Source organism: Homo sapiens, chromosome 18 (genome assembly GCF_000001405.40).
Source record: "Homo sapiens chromosome 18, GRCh38.p14 Primary Assembly".
Taxonomy (NCBI): Eukaryota; Metazoa; Chordata; class Mammalia; order Primates; family Hominidae; genus Homo; species Homo sapiens.
The window spans coordinates 13552466-13578685 of record NC_000018.10 but is presented as its reverse complement, the minus strand read 5'-3'; the positions used below and the strand labels follow the sequence as shown (position 1 = coordinate 13578685).

The 26220-nt window shown below is 44.9% G+C and overlaps 1 protein-coding gene across 48 annotated transcripts in view, besides 8 other annotated features; it reads right to left on the bottom strand.

Annotated features, from left to right (window-relative positions):
• The window catches only part of LDLRAD4 (low density lipoprotein receptor class A domain containing 4), a 435073-nt gene that overhangs the window by 74069 nt on the left and 334784 nt on the right, over positions 1 to 26220 (bottom strand). The gene's annotated exons all lie outside the window — the stretch shown is intronic.
• Positions 7308 to 7357: an enhancer, noted in NCBI's record as "active region_13123". NCBI's record gives its function as "activates an Ori minimal core promoter by ATAC-STARR-seq in GM12878 lymphoblastoid cells {active_cell/tissue: GM12878}" and the evidence as "EXISTENCE:reporter gene assay evidence [ECO:0000049][PMID:35858748]".
• Positions 7448 to 7497: an enhancer, noted in NCBI's record as "active region_13122". NCBI's record gives its function as "activates an Ori minimal core promoter by ATAC-STARR-seq in GM12878 lymphoblastoid cells {active_cell/tissue: GM12878}" and the evidence as "EXISTENCE:reporter gene assay evidence [ECO:0000049][PMID:35858748]".
• Positions 9560 to 9709: an enhancer, noted in NCBI's record as "active region_13121". NCBI's record gives its function as "activates an Ori minimal core promoter by ATAC-STARR-seq in GM12878 lymphoblastoid cells {active_cell/tissue: GM12878}" and the evidence as "EXISTENCE:reporter gene assay evidence [ECO:0000049][PMID:35858748]".
• Positions 11391 to 12018: an enhancer, noted in NCBI's record as "H3K4me1 hESC enhancer chr18:13566667-13567294 (GRCh37/hg19 assembly coordinates)". NCBI's record gives its function as "activates a minimal SCP1, AML or CMV promoter by ChIP-STARR-seq in primed H9 embryonic stem cells {active_cell/tissue: H9 hESC(primed)}" and the evidence as "EXISTENCE:reporter gene assay evidence [ECO:0000049][PMID:30033119]".
• Positions 11730 to 11809: an enhancer, noted in NCBI's record as "active region_13120". NCBI's record gives its function as "activates an Ori minimal core promoter by ATAC-STARR-seq in GM12878 lymphoblastoid cells {active_cell/tissue: GM12878}" and the evidence as "EXISTENCE:reporter gene assay evidence [ECO:0000049][PMID:35858748]".
• Positions 15697 to 16116: an enhancer, noted in NCBI's record as "active region_13119". NCBI's record gives its function as "activates an Ori minimal core promoter by ATAC-STARR-seq in GM12878 lymphoblastoid cells {active_cell/tissue: GM12878}" and the evidence as "EXISTENCE:reporter gene assay evidence [ECO:0000049][PMID:35858748]".
• Positions 16167 to 16216: an enhancer, noted in NCBI's record as "active region_13118". NCBI's record gives its function as "activates an Ori minimal core promoter by ATAC-STARR-seq in GM12878 lymphoblastoid cells {active_cell/tissue: GM12878}" and the evidence as "EXISTENCE:reporter gene assay evidence [ECO:0000049][PMID:35858748]".
• Positions 20165 to 20264: an enhancer, noted in NCBI's record as "active region_13117". NCBI's record gives its function as "activates an Ori minimal core promoter by ATAC-STARR-seq in GM12878 lymphoblastoid cells {active_cell/tissue: GM12878}" and the evidence as "EXISTENCE:reporter gene assay evidence [ECO:0000049][PMID:35858748]".

Here is a 26220-nt window from a genome sequence, read left to right as displayed (position 1 = left end):
AAGCCAGCACCAGCATCTTATTCAGCTGTGTGCACGATCTGCAGGGCATGCCACAGGCTCTATAAGATCGCCACTGTCACTTCTCCCAGGTGGGCACGCCTTCTTCCGCTGAAGGTTAATACTTCTATGTGTTTCTTCTTTCCTGTCCTCTAGCTTATTCTCTGGCACCTAGCACCATGCTTGGCAAACACTGCTTGGAGGAGGACAGTTACAAAGAAGGTGGTTCCGATGACAATGATGATGTGCTGGCCAGGGAGGGCACAGGTGGAAGTGGGAGACCATCCCCATCTCCTGAGACAAGGAGGGACCCAGATTAGTCAATCTAGTTTTAGGGAAAATTTCAAGGTGTTCCAGGGGAATATAAATAACAGTTAAAATTAGAAAATAAAGTAGTAAGGTGGTAATTCATCAGACAGATGATGCCACCAATTATTTAATGGGGAAAAAGCACTTACTGAGTTTGTAGCAGGTGCTTTTAGCTGAGACCCACGGATGAGCTTCAGGGGTCTGCAAACCCCGTAACTACACATGAGACTTGGTATATTTGCATTGCTTTGGGATGAAAGTCTTTGGCCTGCTTCAGATTCTCAAAGGTTAAGAACCACTGGTTTTTAGAGATGGATTCTCCCTCCCCTGCTTGCCCCACCAAAAAGAAGTAGGAGGCACTGACCTCCCTTCCTCACAGCCACTCTCAGCCTCATTTGGGTGTGGAAAGTAAGCACAGCCTCTTTTTAAACATAATAATCAGAGCTGAGTTTTAGATATAGCACGAGAAAAGCCCATTCATGATTCCAGAGTAAGGAAACATTACAGGACAAAGCTGTGTGGTGTTTCCAGTGCCTTTTTCACCTGGAAAGCAAGAGTCCATTTTCAGGCAACCTGATTTTGTTTTCTTAAGAGGTACGCCTCACATGGCCAAACTACATTAGAATTTGCCTACAGCAAATCAATTTGCAACCGATAATGTAGCCGGTACTTTTCCTTATTAAGGTTCCATTTATTCATTAAAGAGGACTGTGCAATGCTAGAGACGCCGCACACAGAGCTCCCCTCTCCCTTCGCTTTTGCGTTTCCCCTCACTATCACCAAGAATGACTTCCCGTTTTAGTTTTCTGAGAATAAGAACATCCCCATTTCTTAAGTTTTCTCTGAGGACTTTTCTCAGTGGTTGCTCTTTTTTCTAATTACAATAGACTGAGTCATAACTCACTCTGCCCACATTTCTAACATCACCACAGTAAAAAGCTGTCCTCGGCTGAGCAAAGGCATGTTCCCCAGCAGCCAGCAAACCCATCTCAACACAGCCGCGCTTGGAGACTCAGGACTGCCGCTGCAGGGTCCTCAATCCTCCATTCTCTCAGTTCTCAAAAGCTGCTGAACATGTCCTTTGTTGTCCATTACACAACCCCTGAAATATTAGCCTAATTTCCCAAAGTAATCAAATTTCTTTCCAGTCCATGTAGGCATGGAACAGCATGCCCAGGAGTTGACTTTCCCATTATGGACTCTGTTTGTGTGACTATGACATCTGCTTCAAATCACATGGACTGAAACTTGCAGAAATACAAAACTAGCCTCATGCAAATTCGGATACTTAAAAAAAAAATGCTAAACCGCAAATAAAAACAAAAATATCACCAGGAAATTAAACCCTGTGGACTTCACTTTTTAAGTGTTGGGTCAAGACACCTGATCATATTTTCAAAAACTTATGCTAAGGATTCCTTTCCACAGACAACGACATGTTGTTTTGCTTAATGTTGTAACTTCTTTCAAAGCCAGGTCCTCCCGTCTGCTCAGCTGGCAGTTTCTCTGAGCGGAGCTCATGGGCACCCCAGGCCCTCCTGAGATGGCCACACTGTCGCCATCTCTATCCTAACACTCTACCTTCCACAGCCTCCGGACATCCCCCTGCTACAGCTGGGAAGGATGACTGCACTTACCATGACTATCTGTGGTCCCACCCAACAAATCTGAAGGTTCTGAGCTCAGAGAGCCCAGCAGAGCCCATGAACAGAGAGACAATCCACATTCTGTGAAGTGCAAAGAGAACCAGGGGTTGACTGAACTGACCCCGGACAGCACCCACCCTCCAGCTCCTAAGCTTATTTAATTAAATGGTAAATCCCAATCAAAGTGTTGAAAGCCAGAAAAGTCACAATGTGAGCTGGCAAGAATTACATGGCTTTAAGCTAGGCAAGAAACTGGAAGAGGAATCCACTTTATTTCTTTCTTTCTTTCTTTCTTTTTTTTTTTTTTTTTTTGAGACAGAGTCTCGCTCTGTCCCCCAGGCTGGAGTGCAGTGGCACAATCTCGGCTCACTGCAAGCTCCACCTCCCAGGTTCACGCTATTCTCCTGCCTCAGCCTCCCAAGTAGCTGGGACTACAGGCGCCCGCCACCATGCCCAGCTAATTTTTTGTATTTTTAGTAGAGACAGGTTTCCCCGTGTTACCCAGGATGGTCTGGATCTCCTGACCTCGTGATCCACCCGTCTTGGCCTCCCAAAGTGCTGGGATTACAGGCGTGAGCCACTGCGCCCGGCTGGAATCCACTTTCTTGATGTTTGTAATAACTTTTATGAGACAAAATATCCTCCCCAAAGACTTGCTTCATAAAAACTTCTGCACAGCAAAAGGAACAGTCAGCAGAGTAAACAGACAACCCACAGAGTGGGAGAAAATCTTCACAATCTATACATCTGACAAAGGACTAATATCTATAATCTACAAGGAACTCAAACAAATTAGCAAGAAAAAATAACAAACAATCCCATCAAAAACTGGGCTGAGGACATGAGTAGACAATTCTCAGAAGAAGATATACAAATGGCCAACAAATATAGGAAAAAATGCTCAACATCACTAATGATCTGGGAAATGCAAATCAAAACTACAATGCAATACCACGTTACTCCGCAAGAATGGCCTTAATCCAAAAATCAAAAAATAACAGATGTTGGCGTGGATGCGGTGAAAAAGGAACACGTTTACACAGCTGGTGGGAATGTAAACTAGTACAACCACTATGGAAAACAATGTGGAGATTCTTTAAAGAACTAAAAGTAGAAAGAACTACCATTTGATCCAGTAATCCCACTACTGGGTATCTACCCAGAGGAAAATAAGTCATTATACGAAAAAGATACTTGCACACGCATGTTTATAGCAGCACAATTCACAGCTGCAAAGATATGGAACCAGCCCAAATGCCCATCAATCAATGAGTGGATAAAGAAATTGTGGTATATATACACCATGGAATACTACTCAGCCATAAAAAAGAACAAATTAATGGCATTTGCAGCAACCTGGATGGAGACTATTATTCTAAGTGAAGTAACTCAGGAATGGAAAACCAAACATCATATGTTCTCACTCACAAGTGGGAGCTAAGCTATGAGGATGCAAAGGCATAAGAATAACACAATGGACTTTGGGGACTCAGGGGAAAGGGTGGGAGGTAAGTGAGGGATAAAAGACTACATATTGGGTACAGTGAAGGCTGCTCGGGTGATGGGTGCACCAGAATCTCACAAATCACCACTAAATAACTTTCTCATGTAACTAAATACCATCTGTTCCCCAAAAACCTACAGAAATAAAAATTAAAATAAAAAACAAACAAACCCTTTTCCTTTGTATTTCTGGAAGGTTTTTTAGGTTTTTGTTTGTTCATTTGTTTTTAATCAGTGACTCAGCTAGGGATGGAAAAAAAGTTAGATGACATATCCTGTCCTCCTTCCCAAACAGCCTGTGCTGTAAGGAGGAGACGTATGGGGGCAAGAGACAAAAAGGGAGGGGTGTCCCAGATAGATATTCCCATCAGAAAGGCTAGTTTCAAGCTCTGATTTATTTTCCTTTTGGCTACAGCTTGGAACATGGTAGAACCAGGTTGAAAAGAAGCAGGAAGCTCTTTGTTTCCAACACTTCACAATAATTTGTAAGATGGTCCTGAAAATACCCTCCACAGTGGGGCACCACTCCTAAATTGAGGCATTTCGGAGGGCCAACTGAGAGAGGTAGAGTGTGAAGTGCTCACACTCAATGCCAGGGCTCCATGAGCGTCAAAGCCGGGGGCTCTCAGGCAGCGAGGAAAGTTAACCCTGAGACAGAGGTGCCAGGGAGACACATCGGCCATGGTCCTGCCGCACATCGAGGCTTCTGGAGTCCTTCTTAAATAGCAGGTGCTAGGGGTACAAAGACGAACAGGACATAGTTCCTGCTCCCAAGGAGCTGCTGCCATGGTGAGGAAGATGTCCAGGTGGATGAACTACCACATGACAGGGATCTAAATAGGGGTCTGGACGGCACACTGTGAACAGAGAGCGGTTGCTCTCCTAGGCCCAGGGACAGCATGGGAAGAGTGCTGCCATGGCCGGCTTCCTCAGGAGCTGTAGCCCAGCCACATTCTGCTTTTTCCCTAAAAGGCTTTCTAATACCCACACACAAAAGCAAACCATGGGTAATAATAGCAGACGGCAGAACATCCACTATTAAATTTGATAATAGTGAGATGGGCTTTTGCAAATCTGGTCATCCTACCACTTTCTCAACCATCAAAGAAGAGCAGTGAGCAAGTGGAACGACCAAGAGTTAGAGCCTTCCCCACAGTGGTCAATATATCCATACACCTCAGTGTCTTCACCAACAGCCAAGGCTTCTGTATCCATCGCTATGCATGAAGCCCACAAGCCTCACTCTGGTGAGAGATACCAGCCTGGAAAAAATGCAGCTGTCTTTCATGAGGTTCCTGACCAGGAAATGCGGAGATGGGAACAGGAGAAGGAGCGCGTCACCCACGGAATGTCTGGCTTCTAATCCCTCTCCAGGATCTGTGTCTGTGGTCTCGGCTTCACCACCTGAGAAGGGTCTACAGATCTGAACTTAACCTGACACCAGTCTCTTTACCCAGATTGTTCTCTGAGTTTGTTCCTTTGATTACAATTCTACCAAAAGACTGTCACTGCCCCCAAATCTGACAGCAAATGAATTCTAGTCCAATGCTTGTTGGCTTATGCAAGGTGTGTGTTTTGTCAGCCTATTCCTGTCACCTATAATGTGAGCCCAGCATGCTCCTAGATTTCTAAACAAATTTTAAGAAAAAACTGTACAGGAGAATCAAGGAGAACAAACCTTCTCTTTAAAGGAGAGCAGCCAGTGGCTCACACCTGTAATCCCAGCACTTTGGGAGGCCGAGGTGGGCAGATCACCTGAGGCCAGGAGTTCGAGACCAGCCTGGCCTACAAGGCAAAACTTCATCTCTACTAAAAATACAAAAATTAGTGGGGCGTGGTGATGGGTACCTGTAATCCCAGCACTTTGGGAGGCCGAGGTGGGCAGAACACCTGAGGCCAGGAGTTCGAGACCACCCTGGCCTACAAGGCAAAACTTCATCTCTACTAAAAATACAAAAATTAGTGGGGCGTGGTGGTGGGTACCTGTAATCCCAGCTACTTAAGAGGCTGAGGCAAAAGAATCGCTTCAACCCGGGAGGCGGAGGCTGCAGTGAGCCAAGATCATGCCACTGCACTTCAGCCTGGGCAACAGAGCGAGACTCCGTCTCAAAAAAATAAAATAAAATAAAAATAAAAATAAAATAAAATAAAGGAGAACAAACCTTTCAGAGCAGTAACTCCTTCCCAAATGAACACTGCAGCTTTCCAACATCTAATAACATCCACACAGCACAGGAGGGCACACCTCCAGCCCCACAGAGCAGGCATGCAGAGCCATCAAGCACATCCTGGCCTCACTGGCGTCTGTGGCAGTCTCGCCTGCGCCACTCTGTGCCCTCTGCGCTGCTGCTATCGGGAAGGGACAGGGCATGTGCTTTAGCCACAGCTCTTGCCACGGGTATGCACTGCTAACAAATTCCTACTCTGTGAGGAACCCCCGTAAAAATGATCACTTTTGGATGAAAGAGGGGTCAACAAGCTACCTCCAAAACACCTGCTGGTTGCTAGAATTCGGAAGCCCCAATTTAACTAAAAAATGGTGATCTCTGGGAATTGAGAATGTTACTCAGAAGCATGATGGGAATTGTAAGACAACTAGAAGCAAATCTCCTCTCCTCCCGCTGACTCTTCCCTTCCCTGCTTTCCTTCTGCGGTTTCTTACTCAATGTGCATTGAAGCCAAATAAAAGATTCAGGAACCCTCTTGACAAGGACTGAAGGATCCCTAAATCTTCTAAGGCAAACACAAAAATCAGTAAAAAGGCCAAGGGATTCTCTTTATCTGCTAAACCAGAGCCTCCTTCCACTCCCAGCCCAGGCTGTAAGCACATCACAGGCACTCCGATCACTGACCCTGGAGCAGGGAAGCTGAGGACATTCACATTCACAGTGATCACAGAAGGACAGCCGGCTGCAAAGGGGGCCAGGGGTGGCTCAGCAGCAGGCCTGTTTCTTTTGTTACTTGAAAACCATCAACGAAAGCACTATAAACTTAAACCCATTTCACTACCCCCAATGTAGTACATGCTCACTTAAGGCTGCCGATAGGTTCATGTAAACTGCAACTGTAAACGAAATGACATACAGCAAGTCCTCGGGTAACGCTGTTTCCTTCAACTTTGTTTTTGTGATTGATTTTGTCACATGTCATTTCATTTAAAATTACAGTTTCTAATCATATATTGACAATGTTAAGGGGGGGACTTACTGTACAGTTAAAATGCTGGCTGGTCCAAAGAATGAATCCTGAACACTCTTCACTTAGGTTAACAATGATTAATTAATAATAGTTTATAGGCCCGGTGCGGTAGCTCACGCCTGTAATCCTAGCACTTTGGGAGGCTGAGGCGGGTGGATCACGAGGTCAGGAGATCCAGACCATCCTGGTTAACACGGTGAAACCTCGTCTCTACTAAAAACACAAAAAATTAGCCAGGCATAGTGGCGGGCGCCTGTAGTCCCAGCTACTTGGGAGGCTGAGGCGGGAGAATGACGTGAACCCGGGAGGCGGAGCTTGCAGTGAGCTGAGATCATACCACTGCACTCCAGCCTGGGCAACAGAGCGAGAATCCATCTCAAAATAAATAAATAAATAAAAAGTTTATGAATAATTGCTCTATATCATTTTTCAGAATCCAAAGCAACACTGGCCTATGCATTGTATCAGGCAAACTACCCAACGCCATCATGCGTGAGCTTAAAGAACATGTTTTCTCTGACCCTGCTGGGGATGAGCCCAGGTCTTCCTCTTATGGGGTTACCAGAGGCAGTAGTGTGGCATGGAAGAGTGCTTGCTTCTTAGTAATATCCAGGGGCTGTGGACGGAGATGGCAGAAACAGGGTGACGGGCTGTGACCAACTTCACATGCTTTATATAAGGTTCTTGGAGGCACTGGAAGCTACAGGGGATTGGCAGCTGTGCTGAACTTAGTGGCTCCCAGCTTCTGACCACAGTGGCTGAGTCAGAGCTTCAGTGATCATAGACAGCGTACTTACACATTTGCAAATGGAAACATCTGCTTTTCTAATTTTTGATGAGAATCTGCCTGGCCAGGCATATGGGAGTGTGAGGAAAGTGGACACATTCACAAACTCCACACTTAGAAAGGGCATGCCAGGCGTGGTGGCTCATGCCTGTAATCCCAGCACTTCAGGAGGCTGAGGCGGGAGGATCGCTTGAGGCCAGGAGTTTGAGGCCAGCCTGGGCAACATAGCAAGACCCCATCTCCACAAAAACACTTAAAAATTAGCCAGGTATGGTGGTATGCGCCTGTAGTCCCAGCTACTCAAGAAGCTGAGGCAAGAAGATTATTTGAGCCTAGGAGTTTGAGGCTGCAGTGATCTGTGATCATGCCACTGCACTCCAGGCTGGGTGACAGAGTGAGACCTTGACTCTACAAAAAGAAAAGAAAATGAAATAAATGAAAGGGAAGGAAGGAAGGAAAAGAAAAAGACGAAAAAGAGAAAAGAAATGAAAAGGGCAGCCAGAGGGCTGCGCCTTCTGTCACCAAGGTGGAGCTCGCCCTGGCACAGGAGACTATGAGGCTCCAGAGTGAGGCTCTTGCTGGATCTCCCAATTAACTGGGACTCCTCATTTCCCTCTCCAGGTACAAAATCAAGAGCATGCCCTTTCCATGCAGCGGGAGCCGTGACTATCAGCGGCATCTCCCCATTGATTAGGTATCTCATTAAGGAGGTCCCCGGCTGAGACCATGCTGCTTCCAGCTGCCAGATTTCTGCTTTGTGTGGAATGGGCAGGAGGCGCCTGGAAGCCTCGGGTGCCATGGATGCCCCAGTGCTCGCTGGAGTCTCTGCCACTCCTCTGGCCCTGATAACTGCCTGTGTGGACCGGCGTCTGGGCTCCCGCCTGCTGGTTGTCTAGGCAACGAGCTGCAGGACAAGGTCACGGAGACCCGAGCCAGGTAGTGGCATCTTGAGAAAACCACTACCCACAGAAGGGCTGACCTGCGCACAGACCAGGCCCCCCACATGCTCCGGTGCAGACCGTCCCAGACGAGTCACGTCTGTCCTTCTTCCTTGCCTGACTCACAAGTGTTAGGGAGCAAGTGAAAACGTCACCTTCTATCACTACCTTTTATCTTTGCTTTGCTTAGATCAAAAATGTCCTTCAAAGGCCTAATGATTTTGTCAAAAAGAAGAAAAACCACCTGCAAAATAAAATACAACCCCTTCCCCCAAAACACTTTCTAAGCCCAGCAGCTTAATTTTGATGGGGATCAGCTGTCTTGCTTCCCCATGCATACTTTTAAAACAAAAAACTAAATATAAATAACTTCTTATTCTTCCAAGCGCAATTTATTTTTTATTTTTCATGTATTTATTTTTTGAGACAGAGTCTCACTTTGTCACCCAGGCTGCAGTGCGGTGGCACGATATTGGCTCACTGCAACCTCTGCCTTCCGGGTTCAAGCGATTCTCCTGCCTCAGCCTCCCAAGTAGCTGGGATTACCGGCACCTGCCACCAAGCCTGGCTAAATTTTGTGTTTTTAGTAGAGACAGGGGTTTCACCATGTTGGTCAGTCTGGTCTCGAACTCCTGACCTCAAGTGATCTGCCCAACTTGGCCTCCCAAAGTGCTGGGATTACAGGTTTGAGCCACTGTGCCCAGCCCCAAGGGAAATTTAAGTTGTTGGTACAATCATTCGTTTCTATCAAAAGGGAAATTAGCCCAAAGTAAGGCTAATCATTAGTGCTACAGATTTTTTGAGAATATTTTTTTCCTTGAAAGACACATAAAAGCAATTCATTTTAAAGTAAAGTGAAGATAAGCAACATCCGACTTATGAATCAGTTTGGTGCCCAAAATTCATTTCTAATTGGCTTATCCTGCAACTGAAAAAAAGTTTTTCTATAGAGACAAGAGTACAGAGAGTGTTTTATTCCCCAGATAGCGCAGGGCTAGTATGGAGCTAATAGTTCAGAGTCTGAGCCCCTGAGCCTGCAGGATGGGGCGGCCCTGGGAGGCCCAAGCGTGGGAAAGAAGTTTCTGAGGCCACGTGTGGGGAAGGCCCCAGGAGTGGGGAGGAGGGCAAAGGGCGCTTCTCTAGTGTCTGCTATGAAAGTATGACATCATCTAAAACAAGCATCTCAGTATTGGATTAGTGTCACAACTTCTCTTAGCTTCTTATAATCATTTTTTTTTTCAAATGATGTAGTTGCTCGTGTAATCCACTAATATCAACTCATTCATAAAATGTTTATTCATGGGGTGCCTACAAACATCACATTGGGTAGAGGGTGCAGGTGAGAGGAGCCAACATCCTTCATGACCAAGGGATTGGTGAAGGTGGGGTATGAGGGTCTTTCCCTGAGCCCTTCAAGATGACCATGCTGACTAGATGTGAACACACTTCCTGGATAGACGCACGCTTGGCTATGTTATAAATTTAAATAACTTGATAAGGTAAGAGACAGGAAGACCTGAAACCTACACTCAGCAGGCCTCTAACCACGGGGTCTGTCTACTGTGATACAGAGACCCTAAATTATAACGAAGGCCACAGGTCCTGATGTGGGGCGTGAAGTGCACTCGTTTTTATTCTGCCTTCCCTTTCTTCCTTAGCAAGACTGGAACCTTGTCCAGTTCCTCCTGCAGCTGGTGTGGCCTTACGGTGAGGTTCTGGCCAGGAGACAGTGGCAGAAGCGGTGTGTGGGACTTCTGGGAAGGGTCTTTAAAGGAAGGAGGCATGTATCATTTTGGACTTCAGTTCTTCTTCCATGGTCCAGACTGCAGTGTGAGTGTCCTGGCTGGAGTTCCAGCAGCCATTCTAGACCATGAAACAACCTCAGAGCTGGACACTAAGTGCTGGGAGAGTGGGGCCGAAAGAGATAACCTGGATCCTCGAGGACTTAGTGGGGCCCCTATACCAGCCCCATGCTGCCTTCTGCAAACTTGTTTTTTTCTTTTTTTTTTTTTTGTAAACGGAGTCTCACTCTGTCACCCAGGCTGGAGTGCAGTGGCATGATCTTGGCTCACTGCAACCTCCACCTCCCAGGTTCAAGTGATTCTCCTGCCTCAGCCTCCTGAGTAGCTGGGACTGCAGGCACACATCACCACACCTGTCTAATATTTGTGTTTTTAGTAGAGACAGGTTTCGCCATGTTGGCTAGGCTGGTCTCGAACTCCTGACCTCAGGTGATCCCCCCACCCCCCACCTCCTCGGCCTCCCAAAGTGCTGGGATTACAGGTGTGAGCCACAGTGCCCGGCCAAACTTGTTTCTAATGTGAGGCAATAACTGCTTGTGGGTTGAAGGCACGATGACCAGATGTCTGTGACTCACAATTCCTAACAGTGACACCCACTATAACAAAAAATCCACAGCGTTAATACTTTCATTATTTCCAATAAGCCAAGACATGTCCAAACTAGAGTTTATAGGGTAGAGTTTAAATGATGACACCATTATCACTGTGTCACTCTATTTTTAAAATAAGCAAATATTCTATTTTTTTTTTTTTAACAAAAAAAGTTCTCATAGCTCAATTTTCAAAAGGGAACTTTCTCTATTTTACCAACGTCACAATTATGACCTGTCAGATGAATGGAAACCAGCAGGGGAAGTTCATTTGCATTCAGGGGAAAGAGAAAAGCAGTTTAGAGAGAACTCTTGGTTTTGTGCTAATAGTCTCAGATCTTCAGAGAAGTTCAGTGCTGAGAAAATGTTTTTAAGAGCCTCAAACAGCTTGAGGGTGTTTAATTTTACTTAGGCAGCTGGGTCTTCTGCAAAAGCGTAACTCCTGGGGGGCTGCAGCGGCGGGGGGTGGTGACAGTGCGTTTGCAGGCAGGCCCTACGGCAGCAGGCCTCAGGAACTGAAGCCGAGCAGCATTAGCTATAAAGAGCTCCCAGGTCAACAAGCCCCTCATCTCTGCCTTCAGTCCAGCTACTCCAGGAATCTGAAGCAATCCAGACACTGTTAGATTAGGAAGACGCAAGGTACTTGTGTTTCTTCCCTACGTGTGTGTATTTGTCTTTCTTAGCAGCGCCCCTGGACTCTTAGGGTACCCACAAAAGCACATGCACGTCATAGTTAAACTAGTGAAGCTGGGAGGCAGGGGGAAATGATTAATATTGACCAAGGCAAACCAGAGCAACCCACGATGAGGATGAGGTCAGTGACACGGGAACAAGTCTGCGTGCACTGGCAGGGCTGCTTCCCCCCTGGGCCAGGCGCGGCTTGGTTCTAGGCTCTTTCACACACGCTGTGTGACTCCAGGCCAGGCTGCACCAGGCTGGGCTTCGCTTCCCCATCAGCTCAGCAGGACCCTCTCCTCACAGGGACACTGAGTCCATTGAATTTCTAGCACAGTATTCAGCACAAAGCAGAAGTTCAACAAGTCTAAATGATTTTCCACTTTCCATGCTACTCTAATACCCTTTGGGCAGATGTTTGTAAGTAAACCTATACATATTTAAATCCTCTCTTTTTGGGGGACTGTGGGGAGAACCCATGTGTCAAGGATAAAGACATAAAGCCATAGTATAGCACCACATCAATTATTTCCACTGGGCCAAGAGACACCTGCTGTCATTTAATATAAGGCATACTCTTGGCTGGGCGCAGCGTCTCGTGCCTGTAATCCCACCGCTTTGGGAGGCCAAGGCGGGTGGATCATGAGGTCAAGAGATCGAGACCATCTTGGCCAACATGGTGAAACCCCGTCTCTACTAAAAATACAAAGATCAGCCGGGCGTGGTGGCAGGCGCCTGTAGTCCCAGCTACTCGAGAGGCTGAGGCAGGAGAATCACTTGAACCCAGGAGGTGGAGGTTGCAATGAGCTAAGATTGCGCCACTGCACTCCAGCCTGGCAACAGAGCGAGACTCTGTCTCAAAAAAAAAAAAAAGTCTAAGGCATGCTCTTTATTGAAAATATAAGAAAACTCATGCCCGTTGTGCTGAACAGAGATGGGTGTTGGCTTCTCCTCCAGGACAGACTGACCTTCCAGAGACAGGAACAGGAGCCAAGGGATAGCTTACTGTCCTGGCTCAGTGCCCTTTCCCCTACTATCTCCCCAGCACTGACGGGGGTCTCATTGGCTGCCCGTTAGTCTTGTCATCAAGTCCCACCAAGCGGATGTAACTGTAACCATGTTAGACACCTGCCCTCTCTACCAGACACCACAGCCCCAGGAGCAGGGGCTGGGAGGGAGCATTTCTGTGTCCCCACTATGAGATGATGCGGGTCCCAGAGAAAATTCATGGCCCAGGCTTGTTGGACTGAACGAATGGACGAATGGCGTGCCTTGGAGCAGCAGCTCGGCTTGTGTTTAATGCCACATGGGACATCATCGTCACAGTCTTCAGAGCCACGTTTGATCAACGCTGATGGAATTCTTCCTTTGAATATCAACACAAACTCCTTAAGGCCCCGTCCAAAATGTGCGACCCCGCAAGCATGGAGGAGCTCTGTCCTAGAGGCTACAAAACACAAATCCCAATTCCCCTCCACACACAAAGTGAGGTGCAGGTACAGAGCTCTGCCACCATTGAGCACACCCATCTCCTTCCCATGGCAGAGAAAGGTTATGCTCACGGCATGAGCCACAATAGAACCCTTTTGTCTGTCTGCTTGTTGACAGGGGCACGAGAAAGGAGAAAAGAATGGGCATTTCAGTACAGCTGGGCTGGCTCGTTCCACAGCCCAAGACAAGCGCCAGGACGGTCCAGCTGTGAGGGCGGCTCATGCCAATGTCACAACCCTGCGATGACAAGGGGCTGTTATCCCCGCCACCCTGGCTGTGTGGCTGAGGACCGCAGCGCCCCTTTGTCCTGCTGCCTGGAGGTCTGCCCGGGCTGCTCGCAGGCCAGCACGGCCGGGCCCTGGCCCAGCTTGGCGCTGGCAACGGCTGTTCGCTTCTGTGGTTCAGGCCCTCACAGCACAAAGGCCCGTCACAGGGGCTGTCTGGGATCAGGGAAGATGGTCTCTTCAGCTGTGGCCTTCATCCCACTCCTGGACACCCCTGGCCAACCCTCTACTGTGGACAACTGGTCGACCTAAAAGCCAATGTATTATGATTTTACAAAACCCCTCTGAGGATACTTGATGTTTTATGGGGAGATATAATCCTAGAAAACCTAGTTGTTTGGTGTATGGCTTTGTTTTACATTGCTGTTTTGGGTTCAAATCATGACGGCATGAGATTTAATTACCTTTATTTTCCAGACAAGGGCATACAGGGTGAAATACATACTCCGTGTTCTAAAATTGTAAGGTAAGCATAATTGACATGCATGGGGCAACTCTGACTATAAATTCCTGCTGGCTGAGCCTCACTTTTAATGTCTGTTTTTTTCTTTTCTTTGGGGAGGCAGGAGGTATGGACAGAAAGCACTCGTTCTTCAGAGAAGGCAGGAGATTCCAATCTAAATCATGCCTAAAGAGCAAGGCACACCTGGACTTGAATGACCCCCGACCAGCCACAGGGAAATCATCACGGGAGGGCTGGAGCACTGCCAAGGCAATGAAGGGAAATGGTTTCCAGACTCACGGCCCCGCCAGGAGGAAGGGGGGCGGCAGCGCAGAGGCGGGGTCGTGGGTCTGCGCACCCTCACCTGCCGCACTCGCCACGACTCAGACCCCACAAAGGCTTGGGCTTTTTTGTGAGTTTTTTTTTTTTTTTTTTTTTTTTTTAGAAAATGGGAACACAAAAATGAACTTTTTCCATTCTCAAAAACAGAAAAACCAAGGAGAGCAGGTGAGGCGAGGAAAGGTTCTCAGAGCACTAAGTATGCAGGTCTTAGCAGAGGGGAAAGACAAGCAAGCCCCACCCTGAGGCCTGGCCACCTGGCAAAGGCGAGCGCTGGGGATGGCTTCAGTATACGCGCTGGCAAGGAAAATTGCCAGAGATGTGCAATTTACCTTTAGATACAACAACATAGGCTTGCTTCTGACAAGGACTACTTGAATAGCAGCCATCCTCCAAACCAGAATACTGCTCCATTTAGGAGGGAAAAAGGAAAGTAAAATTTCTATAATTATCAGCAAAAAGCATCAAAAGGGAGAGAATCTGGGAGTTTGAAAATGGCCTATGCCGGAGCCTGTCGACTCACGCCTATAATACCAACAATTTGGGAGGCCAGGAGTTCAAGACTAGCCTGGGCAACAAAGTGAGACCCCCATCTTTACAAAAAAACCACAATTATCCAGGTGTGGTGGTGCATACCTGTGGTCCCAGCTCTTTGGGAGGCTGGGTTGGGAGGACCACTTGAGCTCAGGAGGTTGAGGCTGCAGTGAGCTATAATTATACCATCACACTCCAGTTTAGGTGAGAGAGAGAGAGAGAGACTCTCTTAAAAAATGTAAATAATAGCAAAATAAAAATAATTTTTTAAAAAGAAAATGGCCCAGCTCTAACCTAGCTGTGGGGGTTTAAACCATAGCTCAAGAATCACTGAGGGGCCTTTAGAGGCCATCTGTTTAAAGATCCTTGAGAACAGGGGTCGGTCTTGTGGCTTCTACATCTCCCGTGGGGCCAGGCATTTGCCAGGCACTTAAGTGTTTATTGATGTATGAGAAGGACGGAGCCTCCCGTTTATCAGCACTCCTAGCTGCCATCCTCCAGTCCTGCTGACGCATTAATGTCGTGACCATTGAGGCATTCAGTAAGGAAGCTCTGTGCCCTGTATGTTTTCTGTTGTGCTGAAAGGAGTCACATGGCAAAGCTGCAGAACATGTCCATTCTGCTCCCTAGACTCACCCTCCGCAAATGAAGACTATCCCCCTTTCACTTCCTTCCTTGTGCTACTCTATCCGGAAAATCGCTGTTGTGTAAACAGATCTGGGGAGTCAGGACATGCAATATCCACCTTCTCAGTGGCCCAAGCTCCAACCTCCTTCCAAGGGGCATCCACAGGCATGGCTGGATGGATTTTCATCTGAAGTGTCTGGAATCCTACCATCCATCCACAATTAAACTGGGTCTAACTGTCAGCCTAAAAAACGCTCTATGGATTCTGGGTTAAAGATTAATTGGGGGTTGTGAACATGCTCATGTTCTCTACAGGCATAATTAGTTATCCCTAAAACAAAGATGCCTGTCATCTCCAAAGATAAAAATAAGTTTTACTAAAAAATATAGAGTGACAAGAAATAGTAAAGCTTCAGGTGTATCTTTGGTAAACCATCAGGTCTGTCCCTAAATCATCAGAAATGGGAAATGAGGGGTTAAGTTTCTTTCCTCTTCTAACAAAGAACTCTATTTGTTACACTAGACCAGGCGACAACCGTCTCTATATAGAGGGTGGCAGTTGGTTCAAGCTCTACCTTCCTTTCTCAGTTGGATCTATTTAAAGCCTGCAGCAGAGGAAACTTGGCAGCTGAATGTTTCCAAAAGTTAGTATACCACTTCCCTACTTCAGATCACACAGGAGGGCACAGCCCGGGAAGCAGAGATTCCTTGGGTGGGAGGGGTAGGCGCCAGCCCAGAGCTCACATAGCCCCCAGGTTCATCAATGTCCCATCGACAGCCTTCACTGGATATTTTTTTAAATCTCACATGTTGCATCTAAAAAAGTGGAACTCACGGAAGCAGAGGGTAGAATGGGGGTTTCCAGGGGCTGGGCCATTAGGGACGATGGGGAGATGTTAGTCAAAGGGTACGAACTTTCAGTTATAAGATGAACAAGTTCTGAGGCTCTGACGGACCGCGTGGGTGGTGAACATGTGAGCCTGACTGTCATCATCAGTCCACAATGTATATACATGTATCAAATAATCACATTGTATACACAGGATAGAGACAATCTTTGTCAATTAAATATATTAAAATTTAAAAAATGTAAACAAATTCATTGATAACAAATTTCAAAGTAATGGACCTAGTTAAGGGAGTGGAGAAACGAGGCAGGCTGAGGTCTCACTGATGTAGGTTGGCAGAGCTGGCTGAGAGTTTCAAAGCCTCAAGGTGGCCAGTCTGGGTCACCGGGATCAAGGATGGTGATTCCATGACAGTCCCTCTACCAAACACAGCTGCACTGTCATTTACCCTCACAGCAAGCCACATCTACCTATAAAAGCAGGTGTGATGATCACCTTTCACAGATGAGGAAATGGAAACTCAGAGACATCAAGCAACTTGTCCAAGGACACATTATCTTAAAAACACTGAGTCAGGACCACGATTTGGGCCTGGATCTATAGGACCAGGAAGTTCTCACTCTACCATGCCAGAGAGGAGAGGGATGCCTCCAACACCAGGTGGTCAAGTAAAATTAATTAGCTAATAATTGTTATTGGATATGCTAGACTTTGTACTTTTTCTTTTGTACTGTTGCTCATTGTTGAACATGTTTGGTTTTTCTTTTAGGTTTTCTCTAATATAAAGAAAACAGTGGTTATTTATAATCATTACTGGAGGGTTTGACAATCAGGAAAACATTAGGTTCAGCTTCTCCGAAATCGATTTGAGATTCACAGCAAGTCCTCATTACACTGCACCACTAGCATAAATTATTGTATATTTTAATGCTCCATATCCCACAACATCCAAGAGATGTTGGTATCAATCCTACACTGAGTCAAGACACGCTTCGGCATACATGTCATCACGTCCGTCTTTGCACAGGTGTCATCACGTCCGTCTTTGCCTTCTCCCAACATGTTTCTTGAACGATAATCAGGACACCACTCCCGATGATGAAGTACACTTCCAACAAATGACTGCTCATCAAGGTCTCAGCTGCAGTGTTTAATCACGCAGCAGAAACCATTTATTTTCTCATATACTTCTCTTTCTTGAAATATCTCTTAATTATCTCATTTACTCCTATATAAAAATGGTGCTCAAAAATTTAATTACAAGGGCAAGATCTTAAGGAGTTGCAAGGTGTGTGTCTATTTCTCGAAGAGACATTTTCAAAAGCCCCAAATTCTATGACTGAGGAAAAATAACTGGATGATGCCCCAGAAAAGAGTAAGGGGTGATAAGTTAACGGAAGCCCATTTCCAAAACTAATTACCTATATATTGTTTCCTAAAAATAAATTCACCCACTCATTTCATGTCACGCTCTTAACGCCTTTCAACCTTTCAAACGTGGAACCTGAAGAATAGCTCCAGTGTGGGCCCTGAATATCTGCAGGATGTTCCCTGAGACAGTAAGATCTGGTAACTGGGGAGCTTTACATACCTGTAAGGCCAAGTGACACATCATAAGCCAATTCACAGGGGAAGAAACAAACCCAGAGCTCTTGGGAGACCTTCCTAAGGTCACACAGATGTGTCTCCATAAAAATCAGAACGAGGCTCCTGGTTTTCCTTTATTTCACACAGGCTTGAAGTTGTTTTGTGCCAAGAGAGCCACAGTGTTAGGCACCTGCTAGCTCCCAGGTCACCTGCAAGCCCTTCCAAGAGTCATTTCAACCGCAGGTCTGCACTCTGTTCTCTACTTTCTTCTCAGCCACAGCAACAACTACAGCTTCATGGACACTTGATGTTGGAATTGAGATTGGAGTTTTCTTTAATTATTATTCTCAACTTAAAAAGCTGACGCTGAAAAGGGAAGCTTGAGCTCAGCAGATCCTTTCACAGAGAGGCTGAGAAGACAAACTCTCTGATTTCTGGTCTTCTCAGAAAAGATTAAAGTCAAAAATCATGGATGAGGAGACACAAATCTGTCTCCAAAATCTTGCCACTTTGGCGTTATGAAGGTCTTTAAGTCAGTCACTCAGAGCCCTACCAGGTCATCTGAAGGGCAAATCCATAGGAGCCCATGGGAAGAGACATCAGCCCCCGTCATCCCCACTGGCACAGAGCCTCAGGTACGATGCAGGTCCCTTCAAGGACCAACCAAGGACAGCAGCACAGTCTGCAGGGGAAAGACCCGAATCCCCTTGGGCTCTGAGATTGGGCCATTACCTACAGCTTCCAAACACCTGCTCAGAAGTCAGAGAAAAGGTGAGCAGCCGGACAGACTCCTTGTGACATGGGCTGTGCACATTCGTCCTTCAGCAGTCTCACCTGGGGTGTTTTGAGGATGGGGTTGGCTCAGGCCAACAGACCCAAAAGCAGGGGGACACCCTCTAGGGCTTCAATTCCCTGAAAATAATTCCATGGTTTCTATATTTGCTCTGAACAATGTAAATCAAAAAAAGAAAAAAATAAAAGCATGACAGGAACTAGAGTTCCACTTTTTCTGCTACCAATTAATCCAAAAGCTAAAAAGTACCCATATAATACTCAAAAGCTATCAGAGCAAAGGCCCTGGATTAGGGACTCCTTGTTGCTAGGTAGTAACGCCCAACCCTGTTGATTATGCAACGGCAGACCAACATCTTGGTTTGAAGATAGGCACTTCTTGGTCAGGGGCAGCAAAGTGCTGTCTGGATACAAGCAGAGGCTGTGTACCAGCTGTGCTGTCTTTGAACTGGAAGAGGCATCAGAGATCTCCCGCCAACTCCTCCATGGGCAACTGAGTCCAGGAGAGGGGCAGTGATTTAGCGAATGTCCTGGAAAAGTCATTTGCAGAGCTGCTGTCTGAACCCAGTTTTCTGACTCTCAGGGAGTGTGATGTTGGTCTCTAGACAGAAGAAATAACAAATAGCTTACATGTATATATATACATATATAAAATGTACATACATACATATGTACACAGATATACTTGCATTTCTATATGTATATATACATGTAAGCTATTTGTCATATATATGTGTACATGTGTATATGTACATACATACACATATATATGATACATACCCATATAAATTCACACACCTACTTAGAAATTTCAATTCTAGACAAATAGAGACTAATAATCCTGTTGCATTTTTTTAGCATATTGGGCCTTATATGTAACTAACAAATTATACAAATAACTTGGCTGAAGTGTCCAGACCTTTTCCATGAATGCCATTTCAAGGCAGGTTCCCTCTTCCAGGTCTCTGGGATTTATCTCATTTGTTTGTTTGTTGGTGAGGGGCTGAGTCACAGAAGCAGCTTCAGAAACCCCACAAGGAAGCAGCCATGCAGATGCTGTGCTGATCACCCACTAAAGTGTCCCTTTGTCACTAATCAGTCAAAAATTATTTATTGAGGAAAAATGAAAGTAGGGACTCCCTCTTTCCTTAAAGAGACAGTGACACCTTTACAGATACCAAAGATCAGTGGTGATCCATCGAGACTCCCTGCTTACTTTTATCTAATGCTGGTCTTGCAGCCAGTGGGGTACTACATTCTGGGGTGCTGCCGGTGGCACGTCTAGTGACAGTAACAGTACTTCAGTGCCTGCGAGTCGCATTAGCTGGGGAGCTGGTGTGCTTCCCACTTCTGTGATTGCCCTAGTGCACAGGGTGGCCCCCGATGACTTGCTCTTGTAGAGGGGCAGGGGGAGGGCTGGGTGGGAGAATTCAAGGTTATGTAATGCTTACTGTTGATCACCTATTAACAGAAAGCAATGGTGGCAGAGGTTCTCTTTGGGTGTTCATATTTTATATTTTTCTTACTGTTTTATATTTTTCATACTTTTTAAAATTTTTCTTAGTTACACTGGCTAATAGCAAAATTATTTTGCATTTCTGAGTAAACAGTAACTCCTATGGAAGATTACCCAGAAACACATGAAGTCCTCGTGGGACTCGTTCAGCTAGCTGATAAACATTTACGACTGAGCCATACATGTGCCGATCCTACTAGGAATAAAAATTTGCTACCCATATCCCAGCAAGTGCTGCCAATTCTTCGGGTTACAGCTACATAGATATAGCTCTTCCTCTATTACTGCTTTAATGCTTTATGAGTAAGCTGGGATGTCTGTAGCCAGGTGGGTCTAGAACAATGTTTTCCAGGAATGCTCTTCACCACGTGGCCTGGGCAACCTGCCCCTGCTGGCCAGAGAAGTCGGGTACGAATAGGGGAACTGAGGTAGGCAAGTGGTGCTTCTGCATGCCCCTGTGGCCTGGGCGGATCCCCAGGGATGTGTCTTCAGAACCCATCATGTCTTGTTTTCTTCTGCCAGAGTGACACCTACTGGGAACTATGGAGGAATGCAGCCCACTCCTCCGATACAGTCCCACTCAATATTCACCCTGGTCTATTTTTGCACAAGGGTAAGAATTTCAACCAGCTTGGATAAACACACAAGTTGTGTGACATGAAGATAAATTTGGCAATGGTTGCTTAGAAACTGACAACAGTGCAATCAATAGGCAGTTTCCCAGAGCGCCCTACTCCAACACCTTTTAAAGTGCCAATCAAAGTTTGCAAAACCATTCATTATATTTCAATATGTGGAATTTTTTTGTACCTTGAAAAAATGATTAGATTTTGTTCCTGTTTAACAACTTACTTCTAATTCAAATTCAAAGTGAAAATAATGAGATTGGGCATCAAGAATTTGGACATACTGGTGTCTGGTATCGAGGTTCTTCAGCTACTCAATGCACGTGATGATGGTGATGATCATGATGGTAACAACAGACAATAACACATATATTACAATGCCACATACTAAGTGTTTTACAATTCTTAGCTCACTTCTTAACAATTTCTCGTCTCCCTATAAAAAGCTTTGTCTAGGCCGGCTGTGGTGGCTCACGCCTGTAATCACAGTACTTTGGGAGGCCAAGGTAGGCAGATCATGAGGTCAGGAGATCGAGACCATTCTGGCTAACACGGTGAAACCCCATCTCTACTAAAAATATAAAAAATTAGCCGGGTGTGGTAGCGCATGCCTGTAGTCCCAGCTACTTGGGAGGCTGAGGCAGGAGAATGGCGTGAACCTGGGAGGCGGAGCTTGCAGTGAGCCAAGACCGCATCACTGCGCCCCAGCTTGGGCGAAAGAGCGAGACTCAATCTCAAAAAAAAAAGGCTTTGTCTAAAGAAACCATCCTTAGGCACTAGTGTTTGAGAAGGTCAAGTTTAGGTTAGGATCATGTTCAAAGTGAAGACAAAGTCTAGTTTTTTGCTTATTTTCTTTTGAGACAGGATCTCACTCTGTCACCCAGGCTGGAGCACAGTGTTGTGATCATAGCTCACTGTAAGCTTGAACTCCTGGGCTCAAGTGATCCTCCTGGCTCAGCCTCCTGGGCAGCTAGGACTATGGGCATGTGCCATGATGCCTGACTAATTTTTTTTTTTTAATTTTGTAAAGATAGGGTTTGCGGTGTTGGCTAGGCTGGTCTCAAACTCCTGGGCTCAAGTGATCCTCCTGCCTTGGCATCCCAAAGTGTTGGGATTACAGGTGTGTGCCACTGAGCCTGGCCGTGCTTATTATCTCCTTAAGCCAGATGAAAGTGCTGTAACGTCCAAGCTTGGTTTTCATCACCATGCATTGCTAATATCTATTAATCACCCTTTATAAAGCATTAATCACCCTTTAAAGGGTGGTTCTCTTTAGACGGGGGAAAAGAGCAACTTGACAGTGAGGAAACCTAATACACCTCAGTCAGGTGATCAAGGTCACCATCAGCAGTTATAAATCACGTTTAAACTACATACCCTTGATATGATGCACAAGGACAAGGACAACCAGTGACAACCACTCCCCATCATGGCCTTTTCCAAACATATTCCCGTGTATCCCATTAGCAAGTCTTTGTTTACCCATGGACACTCCCTTTCCCTCAAATACATCATCCTCAAAAGACCAGGCTTAAGTACTCCCTGTTCTGTGAAGCTTTCCTTGTTCTCTAAGGCAGAAGTTATTTCTCTCTCCTTGGTCTATGTGGTTATTTGATCTGGGCTCATGATTTTTCTTTATAAAAGCCTCTCTGGATTCGGGCATAGCCAAGCACCAAGCCTCACTCTCCCTGTGCACCCACCTTAAACCTCACCCATGAATTTCACACAATTAAAGAGACTTAGATATACTGCAGGTAATCATGTGTCTTCACTGGATGGTAAGGCTCTTGAAAGCAGAGTTTATAGCAATCCAATTTCTGTCAACTCAGAAGTACTTGTTCCAGCAAGGCCCTAGGGCCTCCTGATAACATGTAGAAATGACAATGACCAGTCACAAGAAGGTAAGCTCTGTTCACCAAAAAAAGTTCCCCACTCTCCTAGAAACAACAATGCAATAGACTCAGAAATTCCAAGTACTTAATACATAGCTTAACTGAAATCAAGTTTCCAGACACGATGAACTCTAGAAAATAACATACACTGAAGCTGTAGAAGATGAGTTTTATTTATCCAATTTATGAGTTCACAAATCATAAATCTCAGTGACTCCGAGTAGTTTGGGCAGGAATGCATTCCAAAACTACCATCTGGGTCATGCTAGATGGAGAATAAATCTAATGCTTACCACAGATTCACATTCTCTCTATAATAAGCTGCAAGGAAGACACCAATGAAGCTATTAAAAATAAGGTAAGAATAATTCACACAAACTGCTTTCCCGCCTTCTTAGAAAATAATACAACTCCCAAACAAGCTCTAAGTAATAATCCAAGAAGTCCCAATTATTCCTCATCTATACCTTAATTATTATATACTTTATAAACTTCTTTCCATCTGCAGTTCTGTGTCTTTGACTAATTACAGTGAGTTTCTCTGAGACACACCTGGCTTTACTTAATGAGATAGACCATGTAATTTTTCAACTCAAAAACCAACTGATCACATTGCTTTGCACCCTAGGGTAGCAACTGCTATATGCCTTATAGGGCTAAATAACAAATAATAGACACTTATAGTTTGCATTTTCTAGCCCATTTTACAATGAAAACAGTGATCTGAAAATCAACAATTTATCTAATATTGAATTCCATAGGTAAGAGAACATAAGCTCTTTAATCAAAAGTAAACCAGCTGAATCATTTCTACAAAGAGAAAAAGAAGAGTAAGAGATGAGGGGAAGGAGGGAGAAGGTAGGCTGTGACTCATTTTACTTCTGTGTTATTTGCAATCAGACTTAAAATGTATCCCCAACTACTGCAGAAAGATAGTGCTGAGGTTAAATGGTTCCACTGAATGACATTCTTTCCTCTTGCTGATTATCTTTTTAAAAAGTTAACTAAAGTCTATAGTTTATTTCTATTTTCTGCGTTTTCACCTAATGTCCCTTTTCCGTCCCAGGATCCCACCCAGGATGTCTCATCACCTTTAGTCACTGTGTCTCCTTAGGCTCCTCTTGGCTGTGACAGTGTCTTTGACTCTGTTTTTGATGATCTTGACAAGTTTGAGGAATAACAATCAGGTATTTTGCAGAATTCTCCTTGACTGGGATTTGTCTGCTGTTTTCGCTCATGATTAGACTAACTTTAAGGGTTTGGGAGAGGAGGGCCACAGGGTAGAGTGTCACTTCCGGCACATTATAGCACTGTAACGCCAACGTCAGTGTTGGCGTGATCACCTGGAGTGTTTGTCAGGTTTCTCTACCATACAGCTGCTCTTTCCTCCTTTCATGCTGTACATGTGGAAGGGCATCACAATGCACAGTCCGCATGTCAGGAGCCAGGGTTAGGCTCCCTCTTTGAGGGCAGAGTGTCTACATAAATTACAGATTACCATTTGAAAACGTGAGAGTGGAAATATCATTAAAATCTTATTTTTAATGGTCAAAGGTATTAAAATAATTTCTGCTATAATGTTCCTGAATATTAGTATTCCCTAAATAAAATATTATTAAAGGGCAATAGGTTATTGTAGCAAAAAATTGTGAAGATCTGTTTGAGAATGTCTTTGGACCCCGAGTCTTAGGTGTGTAGGTATTCATACGGAGAGCCAGGGGTAGATGCTGATGCCGTCTACACATGCAACACACAACCCTTACACATGAGACCTGACTACATAAAGGTGAAAAAAAATATTAACAGAAAAGGCTCCATTTAAAGCTACATTTTAAGGTAAATGCTTAAAATAGCACTACCAAAATATACAACTAGTTTGTTTCATTTGACTCCCTTGACACCTAGAAAAACACGTAAAAACAACTAGTCAGTTACCTTCTGAGTTTCATACATTGCTATGGGCTAACTTTGGACTTTGGCCATAACTTAAAATATTTTTATATTGAAAATTATATTTTTAGTTGAAACAACTGAACTTTAGCAAACAAGGTGAATATAAAAACATTTTTAATGCTTGTACTTCTTATGAAGTATTCCTTGATCTGTTGGCTCAATAACTATTTGCAGAGTGCCTACTGTGTATCAGGAACCAGGGAAGCAGAGAAAGTACGATCATTCCATTATCTATTCAAACACAAAGCAGACAAAAGTGGGATCATGTGATTAAATGCTATGTGACTAGAATAATTAGAAGAAATAAAACATACTGAGAGTTAAAAATGGGCTACACAGAGACACTCAGAGAGCCTTGGATGGGGAGGTCACTCACTAATTAACTGCACAGATGAGAATTTCAGGGAAATCGGTTCCACCTGACAAAAGGGGCAGTTGGTTGACATTACTCTCCTAGGTCATAGACACGCTCGCAAGGCCAATCCAGATTGCTTCATGTATGAACAGTAAAGGGGGGAACATGTAGAAAACACACAGCACAACATAGGGTGCCAGGGCAAGGCGAATGTTTCCATGCGAAGGACAGACGCGGTTATCAGCAGTAGAAATGGAGGTTAGCCAGGAAGCCCGCATCAGGAAAGAACTAGAAAATAAAGGTGTCAGAAAACTAAAGATTAATTAAGTTCCACAGCTATTAATGGGAATCACTCCCTGTTCTCGGCACAGCTCAGGGAACATCATGTTTCACCTTCTGATAAGGAAAAAGTGATTTCAAATCACGCAAATAATTATCTTAGAAGAAACACATCCTTTTAATTTAGGATTTTTCTAACTCTGTAATTTAATTTATTTCTGTGTTAAGAGGCGGTTTACAGACATATTTTAAGAACACCATTCTTCAAAATCTCGTCTCACATCTTCAGACGTTTTTCTGTCACTATAACCAGTGTCTAGACACCCAAATTAAGTACTGTAAACCCAGCCACAACCAAAATGATCCTTCTGCTGGAGATGATGTGTACACAAGGTCACAAACACGCAAGCATACAAATATTTTCAACATGTACCAAACAGGAGACCTTTATTTGTAGACAAAAATATTGATGTTGCTAAGTGATACTGAACAAATCACAAGCTATAAGTCTTTATTATTTATTTCCATCTATTTCCCACTCATAAACACTTTTAACTCTGTTCCATGTCTGTACATATTTAGTCTCAACTAGAATGTCACATTTACTAAAAATATAAAATAACAAAATACTAACCTCTTATCATTTTTCAGATCCTTCCTTAAAAATACGCAGAGGATGAGTAAAGTCTTAAATGAGCAACATCATAAAGGAAGTAAATGAACCAGATACAATGATTATTGGTTAATTTCAACCTAACCAATAATAACTCTAGGAACTTTTTTGGGCAGCAAACTCTGACTTTTTCTTAACAAGAGAGAAATAAAGCCAGGCAAAGGAGATCCCTAGGCAATCCCAAACTGAAGCTCGGTAAAGAACCGTGCACACCCACTTACTCAGGTGGCCCATGAAGAGGGAGACGGACAGATTCTAGGTTCTATCACTTTCCCTGTACTGTCTAGAACAGCATCATCTAAAGTCGGGATACAACACGGAAGAAAGAGTGAAGAGTCACAGTCCTCTAGGAACTACCTCAGCCGTCAGCCTCTCCCCGTCGTTAGGAAGTGGAGGGAGGAGGGTGAGCCCTGGCCATCTATCAAAGGCACAATCAAACTGCACCAGCAACCAGAGAGGAGGCCAGGGGGAAGGATCGTGACTGGCTGGGCAGAAGCTGAACCCTCAGGAGCTAAGGGAACCTTAAAGGCATTTTCA